Genomic DNA, 17,297 nt, shown 5'->3' with positions numbered 1-17,297 from the left:
TCCACCCAGTTTGAGCTTCCTGGCTGCTTTGTTTACCTACTCAAGCCTCAGCAATGGCGGATGCGCCTCCCCAAGCCAGGCTGCCGCCTGCCTCACAGATCGATCTCAGATTGCTGTGCTAGCAGTGAGCAAGGCTCCGTGGGCATGGGACCCGCTGAGCCAGACACAGGAGAGAATCACCTTGTCTGCCGGTTGCTAAGACCTTGGGAAAATCATAGTATTTAGGCGGAAGTGTCCTTTTTTCCAGGTAGTCTGTCACGGCTTCCCTTCGCTAGTAAAGGGAAATCCCCCAAACCCTTGTGTTTCCCGGGTAAGGCGACACCCCACCCTGCTTCAGCTCACCCTCCATTGGCTGCAGCCACTGTCCAACCAGTCCCAATGAGATGAACCAGGTACCTCAGTTGGAAATGCAGAAATCACCCGTCTTCTGCATTGATCACACTGGGAGCTGCAGACTGGAGCTGTTCCTATTCAGCCAAAAAGTAGTATAATATTCTTTGAAGATAGACTGTGATGAATTAAATATGAACTTTGTAAACCCTAGAGCAACCACTATATTTTTTAAAGTGACCTAACTAATACGCCAAGAGTAGAGAAAATATAACTGAATGCTAAAAATACTAAATCCACCATCAGGCAGAAAAGAGGAAAATTTGGAATAAGAAAAGGATGAAACATAGAAAACAATCAGAAAGCCAGTAGATTTAAATGCATGTATGTAAATAATTGTATTAATATAAATGATATAAATGCTTCTATTAAGACAGAGATTGTCAATTTATATAAAAATAAGAAACAACTATATACTTTCTAAAACAAAGCCATTTTAAATATGAAGACCTACGTGAAAGTTGGGTAAAAGTAAAAGGATGGAAAATATATTAATGCAAAGAATCTTAGAACTAAAAATCTTACAGCTATTACTATTTAATAACACACACACACACACACACACACACACAGAGCGAGTGAGCAGGCACTCAAATAAATGAACTATAAAGAACCATGGAGCTAAGAGAAATAAAATAGCATTTCCTGTCTTCCAGCCCATTATCTGTCTTGTGTGTATCTTGTATTAATTTCTATGGGTTCTTCCTGCTCCATAGCCTGAAGAAGAAATGAAATTTCTACTCTCTCCAACCTGTTACCCTCTGACTCTTCTCCACTTCTTTGCATCCAGGTTGTTGTATTCTGTGGTTTTTCTGATGGACTTTAGGTGTGTGCAGCACAGCTGGAGTTTAGGACAACAGAAAGCTTTGGTGAGTGGTTGGTCCTTTCTACTTAACCAGTAATTTTATGTTTTTTTTTTTTTTTTTTTTTCTATTACATTTTGTTTTTGTTTTGAGACAGGGTCTCACTCTGTAACCCAGGCTTGAGTATAGTGGCCTGATCTCCTCTCACTGAAACCTGACTCCCAGGGTCAAGGTGTACTCCTGCCTCAGCTCCTGGGTGGCTGGGATTATAACAAAATAAAACAAAAATCTGCATGTTAAAATCTCACTCAGGGCAGGATGAAAGGGGAGCACTGGGGGCTAGGATTTGCATAATTCCTTGGCATAAATCTTGGTGGCCATGCTAATGTATACACCTATATAGGGACTTGAATAAAAATGGCATGAATAGGGAGCATTTGGTCTGGGATGCCACATTCAGCCATTCAGTGTACAGTGCCTTTCACAAGGAGGTGTCATTTATGTGAACTAAAATATAAATGTCACCTTTTTGAGAGGAGTAATGTACAGCATGCACTGCATATGTGGTGTCCCTAGGGATGGGGCTGTAGCTGCGAGCATGGTGATGCCTGTTTTGGATCCTGTGCACCCACTCCTCAGTGCTGGGCTACTTCAAGGAACTTTTTGTGCCTTCTAGACGACTAGACATAGGAACTGTGGACTCCTGAGAAAACGCATGCACTCAAGTTCTTTAAGAATTTAACTATTTTTGCCAAATGAGGCTTGGCTCAAATAAGAAATACATTGTATAGAGGCCACAGCCATTCTTCGTCAGCTGGAAGGTTGTACTCCAGATTCCTAAATTCTCTAAACTTTTCTCTCTTGTCAACTAGTCATCATTTGCAAGGCTTCTCCTTTAGAGCTCCCAAAAGACTCTCCTGCCTCTCAGGTCCCTTCATTGTTGATCCACAGTGTCCATTTGTCTCTCAAAGACTAAAATGTTTTTCATTGACTTTTAAATTACCTTTCAAAGCTATATGTCACCAGTTTACAATGGGTTAAGCATAGTCCATCCAAGAATATTTCATTCTTTTTCATTATCTTTTTCCCCATTTTTTAAGAATACACTTGAAGAATGAAAGGGTGTGACAGAACTGATACTCAGGAGATGTCTCCCAGGCTTCTCTCTCCATTTTCTTCTGGTGACACTTCTTAACTTTTAACCCAATGGAGAGAGAGAGAGAGGGAAATAAATACACACACACACACACACACACACAGAGAGAGAGAGAGAAAAGGAGGGAGAGGGAGAGAGAGAGACAAGCGCCAGACTGTGTGATGCCTTCTGCAGCATGAAACCAGTATGCATGTTTGGGAAGTAGGTTATAAATAAGCTACTTATATTGTGGAAATGTGTAAAAAATGTTTTAGAAATAGTAAGTGATTAATACAATTTTGATTCCAACTGAAATAGAGGCTACAGCATATACACTGAAAGGGAAAAACTGTTAAAAAATTACTATATGGTTACAGGGAGGATTTTAGTTTATGTTTTTTTTTTTAGATTCAGAATGGATGAATATGTGTAAGACCATTAGTAACTGAAAGTAAAAAAAAAAATCTGTTGATGTATCTTTTCCATAATGAAACAATTGCACTAATAGAATACAAAGAATCTTTGTATGTGTGTGTGGGTCGGGGGGAACATTCTGAACAGTAAAAAAATTCTGTCAGTTTGAAATACTGTATGTACGTAGAATTTTCCAAAGTGATAACTCCTCTTAGTATATAGTTTCTAAAACTGTATTATAGTGAAAGCATGTTACTTATATAACTTTAAGTGATATCCTAAAATGAAAGTAAGAAAATTTAGTTGTTATCGTATCTCTTTTATGATTTACTCAAAAAGAATAGTATATTCACTGGTATTTATGTTTTCTTTCAGAGAAATTCTGTTTTGTATTATTCATCCATGTTTCTACCAATTTATTAAGGTTTAACTGACATAAAAGTTGTATATATTTAAGGTATACACCATGATGTTTTGATATATGTGTACATTAGGAAATGATTAAATCAAGCTAATTGAAAAATAAAATAATATGAACATAAAATATTTAGGTGAAATTCTAAGAAAAAAATTACAAGATCTCTGTGGTAGGCAGAATAACAGCCCCCTCAAAACAATGTTTACAGAGTAACCCCTGAACTTGTAAACAACACATTTTATTGCAGAAGAAAATTTGTGCATGTGATTAAATTAAATATTTTGAGATTGGGATTATCCTAGATTATCTAGGTGAGCCCAACATTATCACAAGGGTCCTTATAAGTAGGAGAAAGGCGGTTAGAATAAGAGAAACATTGGAAAAGGCTATAGTATTGACTAGAGGTGGAGGTAAAGTCCATGAGCCAAAGAACGGAGAAAGCAAGTAGCATCTTCTTCTAAAGACAATCAAGTAGATTCTCCTCTAGAGCCAACAGAAGGAACAAAGCCCTGCCAATGCCTTCATTTTAGCCAAGAGAAACCTAATTTAGATTTCTGACCTTTAGACCCTAATATAATAAATTTGTGTTGTTGGAAACAACTAAATTTGTGGCAATTTGATTCAGTATCAATAGAAAACCAAACACATCTGTATGCTAAAAGTGTAAATACACTAGGAAATCAAATAATTCCTAATTAAGTGGAGAGGAGTATCATATTTATGGATCGAAGGATTCAAATCTATAGACTTATAGAGTTCTATTGATCTCTAGAGGTAATGCAATTCCAACCAATGTCGCAGAAAAATATTTGTAGACATTACCATGATGATTCTAAAACTGATATAAAAGGCAAATAAACTAGAATATCCAAAAGAGTCTGAAAGAGAATCACAAAGTTGGAGAATTTACACTTGTAATTTCCAGATTTACTGTCTAACTAGATTAGCCAATATAGTGTGGTACTGAAGAAAGGATGGACAAATAGAAGGACCAGAAATATACATATATGTCACCAATTCATTTAGACTAAGCTGTAAAGTCAGTCTAATGAAGAAATGATAGTATTTAAACAAGATACTGGAAAATGTGATATATATATATATATATATGAAAAATATGAACCTCGATCCATATTTCAAACCATATACGGAAAATAACACAATTTTAGGCCAAAATGTCCAAGTATAAAATTTTATGAATAAAAGGCAGAATATATATATATTTTTTTATTTATATAGATATTTATTTTTAATCTTCTTTACCTTTCAGTAACTTTTTTCCCCCGATAATATACCATAGGCATCCTATCAATTATTATATATGATATCAAAATATAAAAGTAAAATTAAAAATAAGTTGATAAAATAGACTTTGAAAAAATTAAAATTTGTCTTCAAATCAGACCACTGAGATAATAAAAAGGCAATCTACAGAATACTAAAAATATATGTAATTTAATAATGTGATAAATAACATATATCCAGCATAAATAACTACATATAATTTAACACTCCTGTGTATACCAAGAATTTTACTAGTTACTTTTTAAAAAGTATCTGTGTTTTTCAATAAAATGTCAGTTCTATGAGGCTGTTTTGATCTGTGTTGTAGTCCTAGCACATGAAAAAAACCTGGTTTAATGGCTACGTATTCATTCTGGACCTTCCTTGCTATACTATAATTTTGTCACATCATTAATGTGAATATATTAGTTTATCCTCATAATTTATAATGCGTTAACAACATTTATTAGAGTTAGGAGTCAGGAACATGGAAAGGCAAGAACTCTAACTGAATAGGCTGAGTATATATAGATTTAGGGAGCTCGAAAGAGGGAAAGTAACTGCCAAAAACAAATTCTACATTTTTCCAAGTTATTCTTATATCCGAATTCTGTCAAAGAAAACTACATTTTTATTGATATCTTTCCTTTTTGGACCACGAGCACAATTCCTGTTTATTGCAGAACAACTTGGAAAACACATAAAAGGTATGAAAAACTTGAATAGCAGTAATGAAATAATACCATAATACCAGTAACATCATATAATATGGATACAGTTGTTGATAAAATTTAGATGTAGATCTTTCCACACATCTATCTATATTTACACTTACTTAGGTTTCAGGTTGGGGTCCACAATTTTGTAATGCATCATGAATATTTTATAAAAACATTGAGTTACCAGGTAAATAATTTTGAAAAATCATTTTAGATGCCATGTTTCATTCTATCATACAATTTTTTTTCTGATTGATTTCTGAATTGCTTTTATAGCATTTTAAATATTTTAAATGTTTTCTAAGTCTTGTCTAGTTTCTCTCAGATTTACTACAATATTCCATTTTAAATAGTGGGCTTTTTTGCTATTTATTTCCACCAGAATTCCACCTCCATGATCCAATCACCTCCCACCAGGCCCCACCTCCAACACTGGAGATTAGAGTTCAACCTGAGATTGTGGTGGGGACACAGATCCAAACCTTATAATACTGCCCTTCCCTCTCCAAAATCTTATGTCCTTCTCACTTTGCAAACTACAATCCCAGCATTCCCCCAAAGTCTTAACTCACTGAAGCATTAACTCAAAAGTCCACAGTACAAAGTCTCATCTGAGACAAGGCTAATTCCTTCCGCCTATGGGCCTGTAAAATAAAAAACAAGTTAACTTCTTCTAAGATACAATGGAGGTATAAGCATTGGGTAAATACTTGGGAGAAAACAGCCAAAAGAAAGGGGCTACAGGTCCTGCGCAAATCTGAAACCCAGCAAGGAAGTCATTAAATCTTAAAGCTCCAAAATAATCTCCTTCAATTCATGTCCCACATCCAGGGCACACTGGCAGAAGGGGAGTGCTCCCAAAGCCTTGGGTAGCTCAAACCCTGTGACTTTGAAGGGTTCAACCCCCAATGGGCTGGCATTGAGTACCTACGCTTTTTCCAGGCCCTATTACAAGCTGTCAGTGGATCTACCATTCTGGGGTCTGGAGGATGGTGGCCCTCTTCTCACAGCTCCACTAGGCAGTACTTCATTGTGGACTCTGCATGGGGGCTCCAACCCCACATTTCCCCTCTGAACTGCCCTAGTAAAGGTTCTCCATGAGGACTCCACCCCTGCAGCAGGCTTCTGCCTGGACATCCATGCTTTTTTATACATCCTTTGAAATCTAGGCCAAGGCTCCCAAGACTCAACTCTTGCTCTGGGCACCCACAGGCTTAACACCAAGTGGAAACCACCAAGGCTCATGGTTTGCACACTCTGAACCAGTGGCTCAAGCTGTATTGGGCGCCCTTTGGGCAGAGGCTGACACTGGAGCACCCAGGCTATCGGAAGCAGTGTCCAGACATTGCACAGGGCAGTGGGACCCTGGGTGTGGCCCACGAAAGCATTCTCCCCTCCAAACCTCTCAGACCGTGATGGGAGGAGGGGTTACTGCAGAGGTGTCTGAAATGCCTTTCAGGCCTCCCCATTGTCTTGGCTATTAACATTCAGCTCCTTGTAACTTCAGGAGATTTCTGCAGCTGGCTTGAATTCCTCCCCAGAAAATGGGTTTTTATTTTCTACCATTTGGCCAGGCTGCAAATTTTCAAAAGCTTTACACTCTGCTTTCCTTTTAAATATAAGTAAGTAAGTGCCAGTTTTCTATCTTTTTTTGTTGACACACATGAGCATAGGTTATTAGAAGGAACCAGGCCCCATCTTGAATGCCATACTGCTTAGAAATTTCTTCTACCAGAAACCCTAAATCATGACTCTCAAAGTTCCACAGATCCCTAGGGCAGGGGCACAATTCCACTAGTTTCTTTGCTAATCCATAACAAAGGTGACCTTTACTCCACTTCCCCATAAGTTCCTCATTTCCATCTGAGACCTCCTCAGCCTGGCCTTTAGTGTCCATATCACTATCAGCAATTTAATGACTGCCATTTAACAATTCTTTAGGAAATTTCAACTTTTCCTTCATCTTCCTGTCTCCCTCCGAGCCCTCCAAACTGTTTCAACTTCTGCCTGTTACCCAATGCAAAAGCTGTTTCCACATTTTTAGGTATCTTTATTTGGCTCATGCTTCTTTAGGCTGTACAGGAAGCATGGCTGGGAGGCCTCAGGAAACTTTCAACCATGGCAGATTCAAAGGAGGAGCTAGCACCTCACATGGCTAGAACAGGAGGAAGAGAGAGGCTGGGGAGGTGCTACACACGTTTTAACAACCAGACCTCGTGAGAACTCACGATCATGAGAACAGCACCAAAGGGATGGTGCTAGACCATTCATGAGAATTTCACCCCCATGATCCAAACAACTCCCACCAGGCCCCACCTCCAACATTAGGGATTATAATTCAACATGAGGTTTAGGCAGGAGCACAGATCCAAACCACATCACTATTGGAAAAAGTAGACATCATGGATGAGCAAATGAGGAATTTTAGCACAGAGATAGGAAGTGTAAATTTCTTAGAAATTTACAGTTAGAAAAAAGCAAACAATTTTGAGAGATAAATACTGATTTTGATGGACTCACATTATCTCTATAATAAACACAAATGACAATTTTTTTCAGACAAAGAAAATTTAGATTATTCACCCCAGTAGAAATGCATTACATGACATGTTAACACATTTCCTCAGGCAGAAAGAAATACCGGGCAGAAACATGAATCTAATCTACACGAACAAACTAAAAACCCAGAAAATGATGAAGATGACGATATGGATGTGAAACAGAAATATCTCGGGCCCCAAAATCACTAAGTTAAAGGGAAAATTCAAGCTGGGAACGGCTTAGGACAAACCTGCTTCCCATTTTACTCATAGTCACCCCTCTGCTCACTGAGATAAATGTGTATCTGAGTACCTCCTTTGGAAAGGTTAGTAAGTCAGAAGAATGCAACCGTTTGTCTCTCACCTACTTGTGACCTGGAAGCCTCCTCCCTACTTTGAGTTGTCCCACTTTTACTTCGAGTTTTCCCACCTTTTTGGACCAGACCAAACCAACGTTCATTTTACATATTTTTATCGCTGTCTCATTACTCCCTAAAATATATAAAACCAAACTGCGCTCTGATCACCTCGGGCACATGCCATCAGGACCTCCTGAGGCTGGATCACAGGTGTGCATCTTCAACCTTGGAAAAATTAACTTTCTAAATTAACTGAGACCTGTCCTCAAATTTTTGGGGTTCATACAGGGGTTATTTTATTATTTTCAATCAGTCAGTAACAGATAACAGTGTGAATAAATATGTATGTGGGAATTAGAACATTAATGAAAGTAATTAACATATATATTACAAAGGATGGGGTGAATTGTAAGTATACCATCATAAGATTTTTAAACTATACAAAAAGTAGGATCATATTCTTTGAAGATAGACTGTGATGAATTAAATATGGACACTGGAAACTCCAGAGCAACCACTATCTTTTTTTAAGTGACCAACTAATAAGAGTGCAGAAAATATAACTGAATGATAAAAATACTGAGTCTGCCATCAGGCAGAAAAACAGGAAAATAGGAATTAGAAAAGGATGAAACATAGAAAACAACTAGAAAACCGGTAGATTTAAATGCACATATATAAATAATTGTATTAATATAAATGATATAAATGCTTCTATTAAGACAGAGATTGTCAAATTACATAAAAATAAGAAACCACTAATATACTATGTCAAACAAACCCATTTTAAATATGAAGACCTATGTGAAAGTTGGGTAAAAGTAAAAAGATGGAAAATATATTAATGCAAACACTAAATATTAAAGCTAAAAAATCTTATTAATTATTAATAACACCACCCCGCCCACACACACACACACACAGAGAGAGCACCCCAATAAATGAACGATAAAGAACCATGGAGCTAAGAGAAATAGAATAGCATTTCCTGTCTTCCAGCCCATTATCTGTCTCGTCTCTCTCTCGTATTAATTTCTATGGATTCTTCCCCCTGCATAGCCTGAAGAAGAAATTAAATTTCTGCTCTCTCTAACCTAGTTTTCTCTGACTCTTCTGCACTTCTCTGCATCCAGGTGGTTGTATTCTGTGGTTTTTCTGTTGGAATTTAGGTCTGTGCAGCACAGCTGGAGTTTTAGGACAACAGAAAGCTTTAGTGAGTGGTTGGTCCTTTGTACTTAACTGTAATTTTAAGGGTTTTTTGTTTTTGTTTTTTTGAGACAGGGTCTCGCTCTGTAACCCAGGCTAGAGTACATTGGCACCATCTCTGCTCACTGCAACCTCTGCCTTCCTGGTTCAAGTGATTCTCCTGCCTCAGCTTAGAGTAGCTGTGATTACAGGTGCAAGCCACTACACCTGGCTACTTTTGTATTTCTAGTAGAGATGGTGTTTTACCATGTTTGTTTGACCATGTTGGTCAGGATTGTCTCAAACTTCTGGCTTCAAGTGATCTCCCCACCTGGGCCACCCTAAGAGCTGGGAATTCAGGCATGAGCCACCATGCCCGGCTGAGTCTGAAGATTTTTTTGAGACAGATTTTCACTCTTGTTGCCCAGGCTGGAGTGCAAAGGTGCAACCTTGGCTCACTACAACCTTTGCCTCTTGGGTTCAAGTGATTCTTCTGCCTCAGCCTCCAGAGTAGCTGGGATTACCGGCGCCCACCACTACGCCGGGCTAATCTTTTGTATTTGTAGTAGAGATGGGAGTTTTCCCACGTTGTCCAGGATGGTCTCGAACTCCTAACCTCAGATGATCTGCCCACCTTGGCCTCCCAAATTGCTGGGATTACAGGAGTGAGCCACCGAGCCTAGCCTGACTTTGAGGATTTTTTTTTTTTTATTACACTTTAAGTTTTAGGGTACATGTGCACATTGTGCAGGTTAGTTACATATGTATACATGTGCCATGCTGGTGCGCTGCACCCACTAACTCGTCATCTAGCATTAGGTATATCTCCCAATGCTATCCCTCCCCCCTCCCCCCACCCCACCACGGTCCCCAGAGTGTGATATTCCCCTTCCTGTGTCCATGTGATCTCATTGTTCAATTCCCACCTATGAGTGAGAATATGCAGTGTTTGGTTTTTTGTTCTTGCGATAGTTTACTGAGAATGATTTCCAATTTCATCCATGTCCCTACAAAGGACATGAACTCATCATTTTTTATGGCTGCATAGTATTCCATGGTGTATATGTGCCACATTTTCTTAATCCAGTCTATCATTGTTGGACATTTGGGTTGGTTTCAACCATTGTGGAAGTCAGTGTGGCGATTCCTCAGGGATCTAGAACTAGAAATACCATTTGACCCAGCCATCCCATTACTGGGTATATAACCCAAATGACTATAAATCATGCTGCTATAAAGACACATGCACACGTATGTTTATTGCGGCATTATTCACAATAGCAAAGACTTTGAGGATTTTTAATGAGACAAGCAAAATTACAGGAAAACCAATGGGATAATTCAGACAAGGATAACTCACCTCTGAAAAAGAGGAGAAGTGAAAAGCTCTATCATTGCTCAGCCTAAAAATCGGCGTGTTAATTAGCTGTTCATGGTGGTGCACAGCTTTAATCCCAGCTACTCAGGAGGCTGAGGCAGAATCACCTGAACCCGGGAGGCGGAGGTTGCAGTGAGCCAAGATCACGCCAATGCATGCCAGTCTGGGCCAGATTCCGTCTCAAAACAAAACAAAAATCTGCATGTTAATATCTCACTCAGGGCAGGGTGAAAAGGGGAGTGCTAGGGGCTAGAAGTTGCATTGTTACTTGGCATAAATCTTGGTGGCCATGCGAAGGCATACACCTATAGGGACTTGAATAAAAACGGCATGAATAGGGAACATTTGGTCTGGGATGCCACATTCAGCCATTCAGCGTACAGTGCCTTTCTCAAGGAGGTGTCGTTTATGTGAACTAAAATATAAATTTCACCTTTCTGAGAAGAGTAATGTACAGCATGCACTGCATATGTGGTGTCCCTAGGGATGGGGCTGTAGCTGCGAGCATGGTGATGCCTGTTTTGCATCCTGTGCACCCACTCCTCAGTGCTGGGCTACTTCAAGGAACTTTTTGTGCCTTCTAGACGACTACACATAAGAACTGTGGACTCCTGAGAAAACGCATGCACTTTGGTTCCTTAAGAATTTATCTACTTTTGCCAAATGAGGCTTGGCTCAAATAAGAAATACGTTGTATAGAGGCCACAGCCATTCTTCGTCAGCTGAGACATTTTACTCCAGATTCCTCAATTCTCTAAACTCTTTTCACTGATCAACTAGTCATCATTTGCAAGGATTGTCCTTTAGTGCTCCCAAAAGGCTCTCCTGCCTCTCAGGTCCCTTCATTGCTGATCCACAGTGTCCATTTTCTGTCAAAGACTAAAACATTTTCTCATTGACTGTTAAAATACCTTTCAAAGCCTTCAGTCACCAATTTATGAAGGGTTAAGCATAGTCCACCCAAGAATATTTCACCCTTTTTAATTATCTTTTTTCCCCATTTTTTAAGAGTATATTTGAAGAATGGAAGGGTATGACAGAATTGATACTCAAGAGATATCTCCTAGGCTTCTCTCCCCATTTTCTTTTGGTGACGCTTAACTCTTAACCTAATGGAGAGAAATAGAGGGAAATAAACACACACACACACACACACACACACACACACACACACACACAGAGAGAGAGAGAGAGAGAGAGAGAGGAGAGAGAGAGAGAGAGAACATGCAAGAGAAAGACAAGCACCAGACTATGTAAGGCCATCTGCAGCATTAATCTAGTATACATGTTTGGGAAGTAGGTTATAAATAAGCTATTTATATTGTGGAAATGTGTAAAAAATGTTATAAATAGTAAGTGATTAATACAATTTTGATTCCAACTGAAACAGAGGCTACAGCATAAACACCGAAAGGGAAAAACTATAAAAAACAATTACTATATGGTTACAGGCAGGATTTTGGTTTATGTTTTTTTAGATTCAGAATGTATGAATATGTATAAGACCATTAATGTCTGAAAGTAAAAAAAACAGTTGAAGTATCTTTTCCATAATGAAAAACATTGTAATAATAGAATACATACAATCTTTTTGGGGTGGGGGCAACATTCTGAACAGTAAAAAAATTTTGTCACTTTGCAATACTGTATGTACATAGAATTTTCCAAAGTGATAACTGTTTTTAGTATATAATTTCTAAAACTGTATTATAGTGATGCATGTTTACTTATATAACTTTAAGTGATATCTTAAAATGAAATAAAAGAGAATTTAGTTGTTATCATACCTCTGTTATGATTTCTCAAAAGAATAGTATATTTACTGGTATTTGTGTTTTTTTTCAGTGAAATACTGTTTTGTATTACTCAGCCTTTTTTCTTCCAATTTATTAAGGTTTAACTGACATAAAAATCATATTTAAGGTGTACAACATGACGTTTTGATATATGTGTACATTATGCAATGATTAAATCAAGCTAATTGAAAAATAAAATATGAACATAAAATATTTATTTGAAACTCTAAGAAAAAATTACAAGATCTCTGTGGTAGGCAGAGTAACAGCCCCCGCCCAAACAATGTTCACAATGTAACCCCTGAACTCGTAAGCATCATATTTTATTGTAGAAGAAAATTTGTAGATGTTATTAAATATTTTGAGATTGGGATTATCCTAGATTATCTAGGTGAGCCCAACATTATCACAAGGGCCCTTATACGTTGGAGAAAGGTGGTTAGAATGAGAAACATTGCAAAATACTATAGTATTGACTAGAGGTAGAGGTAAAGGCCATGAGCCAAAGAATGGAGAAAGTAACTAGAATCTTCTAAAGACAATCAAGTAGATTCTCCTCTAGAGCCAACAGAAGGAACAAAGCCCTGCCAATGCCTTCATTTTAGCCAAGAGAAACCTAATTTAGATTTTTGACCTTTAGACTCTAATATAATAAATTTGTGTTGTTGTAAACAACTAAATCTGTGGCAATTTATTACAGTATCAATAGAAACCCCAAAACATCTGTATGCTAAAACTGTAAATATACTAAAAAAAAATACTAATTAAGTGGCGAGGACTATCATATTTATGGATTGAAGGATTCAAATCTATAGACTTTTAGACTTCCATTAATCTCTAGAAGTAATACAATTCCAACCAATGTCCCAGAAAAATATTTGTAGACATTAGCAAGATGATTCTAAAACTGATATAAAAGGCGAATAAACTAGAATATCCAAAACAATCTGAAAGAGAATCACAAAGCTGGAAAATTTACACTTGTAATTTCCAGATTTACTGTCTAATTAGATTACCCAATGTACTGTGGTACTGAAGAAAGGATGGACAAATAGAAGGACCAGAAATATCCATATATGTCACCAATTCATTTTGACTAAGCTGTAAAGTCAATCTAATGAAGAAATGATAGTATTTAAACAGTAAGATGCTGGGAAATGTGAGATATATAAAAAATATGAACCTTGATCGTATTTCAAACCACATACAGAAATTAACACAATCTTAAGCCAAAACGTCAAACTATCAAATTGCATGAAAAAAATGAGAGAAAATATTTTTGACCATTAAATTATTACATATGATATCAAAATATAAAAATAAAATTTATTAAAAATAAATTGATAAAATAGACTTTGAAAAAATTAAGACGTCTTCAAATAAGACCACTGAGATAATAAAAAGGCAAATTACAGAATAAAAATATTTATCACATTATTGAATTACATATAACATATATCCAGCATAAATAACTACATATAATTTAGCACTCCTGTGTATACTAAGTATTTTACTAGTTACTTTGTAAAAATTATCTGTGTTTTAAAATGTCAGTTCTGTTAGCATGTGTTGAAGCTGTTTTGATCTGTGTTGTAGTCCTAGCACATGAAAAACCCTGGTTTAATGTTTACGTATTCATTCTGGACCTTCCTTGCTATACTATAATTTCGTCACCTCGTTAATGTGAATATATTAGTTTATCCTCATAATATATAATAAATTAAAATGTGTTCAGCTTAGGAGTCAGGAACATGGAAAGGCAAGAACTCTAACTGAACAGGCTGAGTATGTATAGATTCAGGAAGCTCAAAAGAGGAAAAATAACTGCCAAAAACAACTTTTACACCTGTCCGAGTTATTCTTATATCAGAATTCTGCCAAAGAAAACTACATTTTTATTGATGTATTTCTTTTTCAGACCATGAGGATAATTCCTATTTATTACAGAACAATGTGGAAAGCACATACAAGGTGTGAAAAACATGAATAGCAGTAATGAAATAATTCCAGTAACATCATAATGTGGATACAGTGTTTGATAAAATTTAGATGTGGATCTTTCCACACATTTATCTGTATTTATACTTAGGTTTTAGGATGGGGTCAACAATTTTGTGCCATTTTCTTATAAATGATTTCAAATAATGCATCATGAATGTTTTATAAAAACATTAGCCTAATAATTGTGAAACATGGTTTTATGTGCTGTTTCATTCTATCATACAATATTTTTCTGATTGATTTCTGACTTTTTTAGCATTTTAAATATTTTAAATGTTTTCTAAGTGTTTTCTACTTTCAGATTTACTAAAATATTCCATTTTAAATAGTATTTTCTTTTTCTTAGATTTTGTTCCATAATTTTTTTCATTAAGAACATACATGTATTATCACATTTAATCCACTCAAAACCCTCAGAAGGCAGTAGTTATTTTTATCATGAACTTACAGATAAAGAATGCAGCTTAGAGAAGTTAAATAAGTTGTTTAATGCTGTGAACCAAGTCCGTAGTCTGATCCTAGGGTTATACTGTAACACGAAAGGATACTTACACGCAAGACTAAAGAGGATCAAACCTGATACTCAACCTATGGCTGCATTCCATCCTGAACCACAGTGCCAGAAAACAGTGATTACAGTTTTCTATGATTCAGTGAGTTCACTGGGAGTTTCTTCTGCTTAGGCTCACCTGGGCTCAAACATGCAACTACAGACATCTACTCTGGGGTGGTCTAGAATGCCCCCTCACAAGGATGCAGTTCCAACTGGAATGGCAGGAACAGCTAGCATGGCTGGGCCTCTCCCTCCAGCTGGTCTTTCATTCTGGAATTGTTCTCAGCGTGGGGAGCTCAAGACTCCAAAAGGGCAAAGACAGAAACTGTGAAACATCTTAGGACTCAGCCTAGGAAAGTGAGCAATGTCACATCAGAAAGATTTCACTGATCAAAATAACCAAGCCAGCATCACCGCATAAGGAAATGAATTCAAACCCTGAAAGGAGAGAGACAAAAAGTCTCATTGCAAAATGGTGTTTTCACAGGAACACCTGACTCATTGGGAGTCATTGTTACCAAAGCACACACAAAATCTACACAGTATTTTCATTCTAGTTTACGGGATATGTCTTTGTTGTTATTTGTAAAGTGAAACTTCACAGGGTTACATTGATAAAAGGTGGGGGCTCTCTGACAAATACCAAGAATTATTAAGAATTTTTGTACTTGTGTTAGCCTGGATGGAGCACCTTTAACATCGCTGGCACAAGTGATATGTTTCACTTCTTTAGGCACATTTTTTGCTTAGAGTTGGAAGGAGCCCAGGTGGTTTGCTGACCCAATAGTGCTAGATTGCTGAGATACTTCCGAGCTGACTGCTTGGGAACATGGAATTGTTCATTTATGTGTACCCATTCTGGGTCAAGAGACTGCTGATTGCTTGGGAACACTGAGAGATTCCTTTATGTGTGCCCACTCTGGGTCAAGACAGACCACTTGTCCTGTGAACCATCTGGTCCAATCTCTCCCTGTTCTCTGTGACCTTCATGGGTAGAGAGGAACAAAGCAACTAAGGCTCCTGTCATTAACCACAGTTGTCAGGTTTCCTTTTATTGACAAATTTGGAGTTGGAATGGTTTTGAGGAGAGGAGCCTGAGCTGCCTGACTCAAACCTTGCAGCAAATTCCTGGCTGCTCTGAGACATCTTCTCCCTGCAGCCTGCATCAGAGGGTACATTTCAGAACAGAGGCTTAAACAATGGGAAGGAAAAGAACAAAAAGACAATCAGGAATGAGTAGTAAGAATAATCGGCTGCCATGCTAGTCATGGGACTCAGGAGAACACAGGAGGTGAAGGGTATCACAAATGCCTTCATCCCCCACCCCAGCCTACACCACTGCCAGCCTTGCCCCTGCTCTGTCCCCCTCAGAAGGACACCAAGAGACAGAGGGTGGCAAAAATCCAATGCGTTATTCTTTTCCGACCCCCTCCCCACTCTCACCAGATGCCTCCGAAAATCAGCTGGACGGTGGGAGGGATCAAGAATGACTGCCGTCACCATGGAAACTCCTTGATGGCGAGATTGCTTTGAGAACCAGGAGGGGATGAGATAAGCACCAGAGGAACACTGGGCAGTCAGGGCCCAGCATCCACCAACCCTTTCTTCCAGATAACTCCTTTGTTCTCTGGGCTGGTCTCCCTCTTGCTCCTATAGGGGCCCTTTCTGACTCTTCACCTGTTTTGATTCTTCAGTGGTGCCCTTCCCGGGTCTGGGAGGGAAGGGCCCGAGGCCCACTCAGGGCTGCCCCAGGATGGCCACTTCTCACTGCAGCCCAGACACCCTGGTCTATAAGACACACTATCCTTGCCACTGAGAAGGAAGGGACGTCAACACTTTTGAGCCAAGCCCTGTGTCCCCTGCATCCTGCAAGGAAGAAGAAAAATAAAGACCTGACTATTTTTCACAGGTGCAACGGGTGACTAAAGACAGAAAGAGAGTGGTGTGGTTTTCACTTCATCTTGTTGAGAAGCCAGGGCCTGAAGTCCAGAGATCCCCATTCACATGCACCCTCTTGGGTGGGAAGGGGAGGAACTCTTACCTCCCTCTCTGCCATGTTCTCCTCTCGTTGCCCATTTGTGTACTATCCTCCCTGTCCCCTACCTGACTGCATGTGCCTTCAATGCAAAGGTCTTACTGCTCATCAGCTTTACATCTGCATCACAGTCACAATTCCTGCACCTTACAGGCCTGGATCAAATTCTTGTGAATGAGCAAAAGCATCTCTAAAGGTCACCAGTGCCCTGCTTGTCTCAATCCTAGCCGGACACTAGGCTATAATGCTCATTATAAATGTGAAAATAAGGAAGGAGACCACCTCTC

The 17,297-nt window shown here is 38.3% G+C and overlaps 1 long non-coding RNA gene and 2 other non-coding genes across 8 annotated transcripts in view; 2 read left to right on the top strand and 1 right to left on the bottom strand.

Moving 5' to 3' along the window:
• LOC105373347 (periphilin-1) overlaps positions 1-17,297 on the bottom strand; it is a 90,847-nt gene that overhangs the window by 71,108 nt on the left and 2,442 nt on the right. Inside the window, exon 1 of one of the 6 annotated variants that reach the window (XR_005647085.2) lies at positions 10,608-10,755. The exons of the other annotated variants lie outside the window; for them this stretch is intronic. This is a non-coding gene — a long non-coding RNA (periphilin-1). Of the gene's footprint in view, positions 1-10,607; positions 10,756-17,297 lie in introns of those variants that run through there. 6 annotated transcript variants of the gene reach the window in all.
• Positions 1,661-1,744, top strand: MIR513B (microRNA 513b). The gene has a single exon (NR_031708.1). It is a non-coding gene; the product is annotated as a microRNA 513b (primary transcript).
• On the top strand, positions 11,001-11,084 carry MIR513C (microRNA 513c). Its single transcript, NR_031709.1, has one exon. It is a non-coding gene; the product is annotated as a microRNA 513c (primary transcript).

This window comes from Homo sapiens, chromosome X (genome assembly GCF_000001405.40).
Source record: "Homo sapiens chromosome X, GRCh38.p14 Primary Assembly".
NCBI lineage: Eukaryota > Metazoa > Chordata > Mammalia > Primates > Hominidae > Homo > Homo sapiens.
This window is presented reverse-complemented; position numbering and strand designations above follow the sequence as displayed.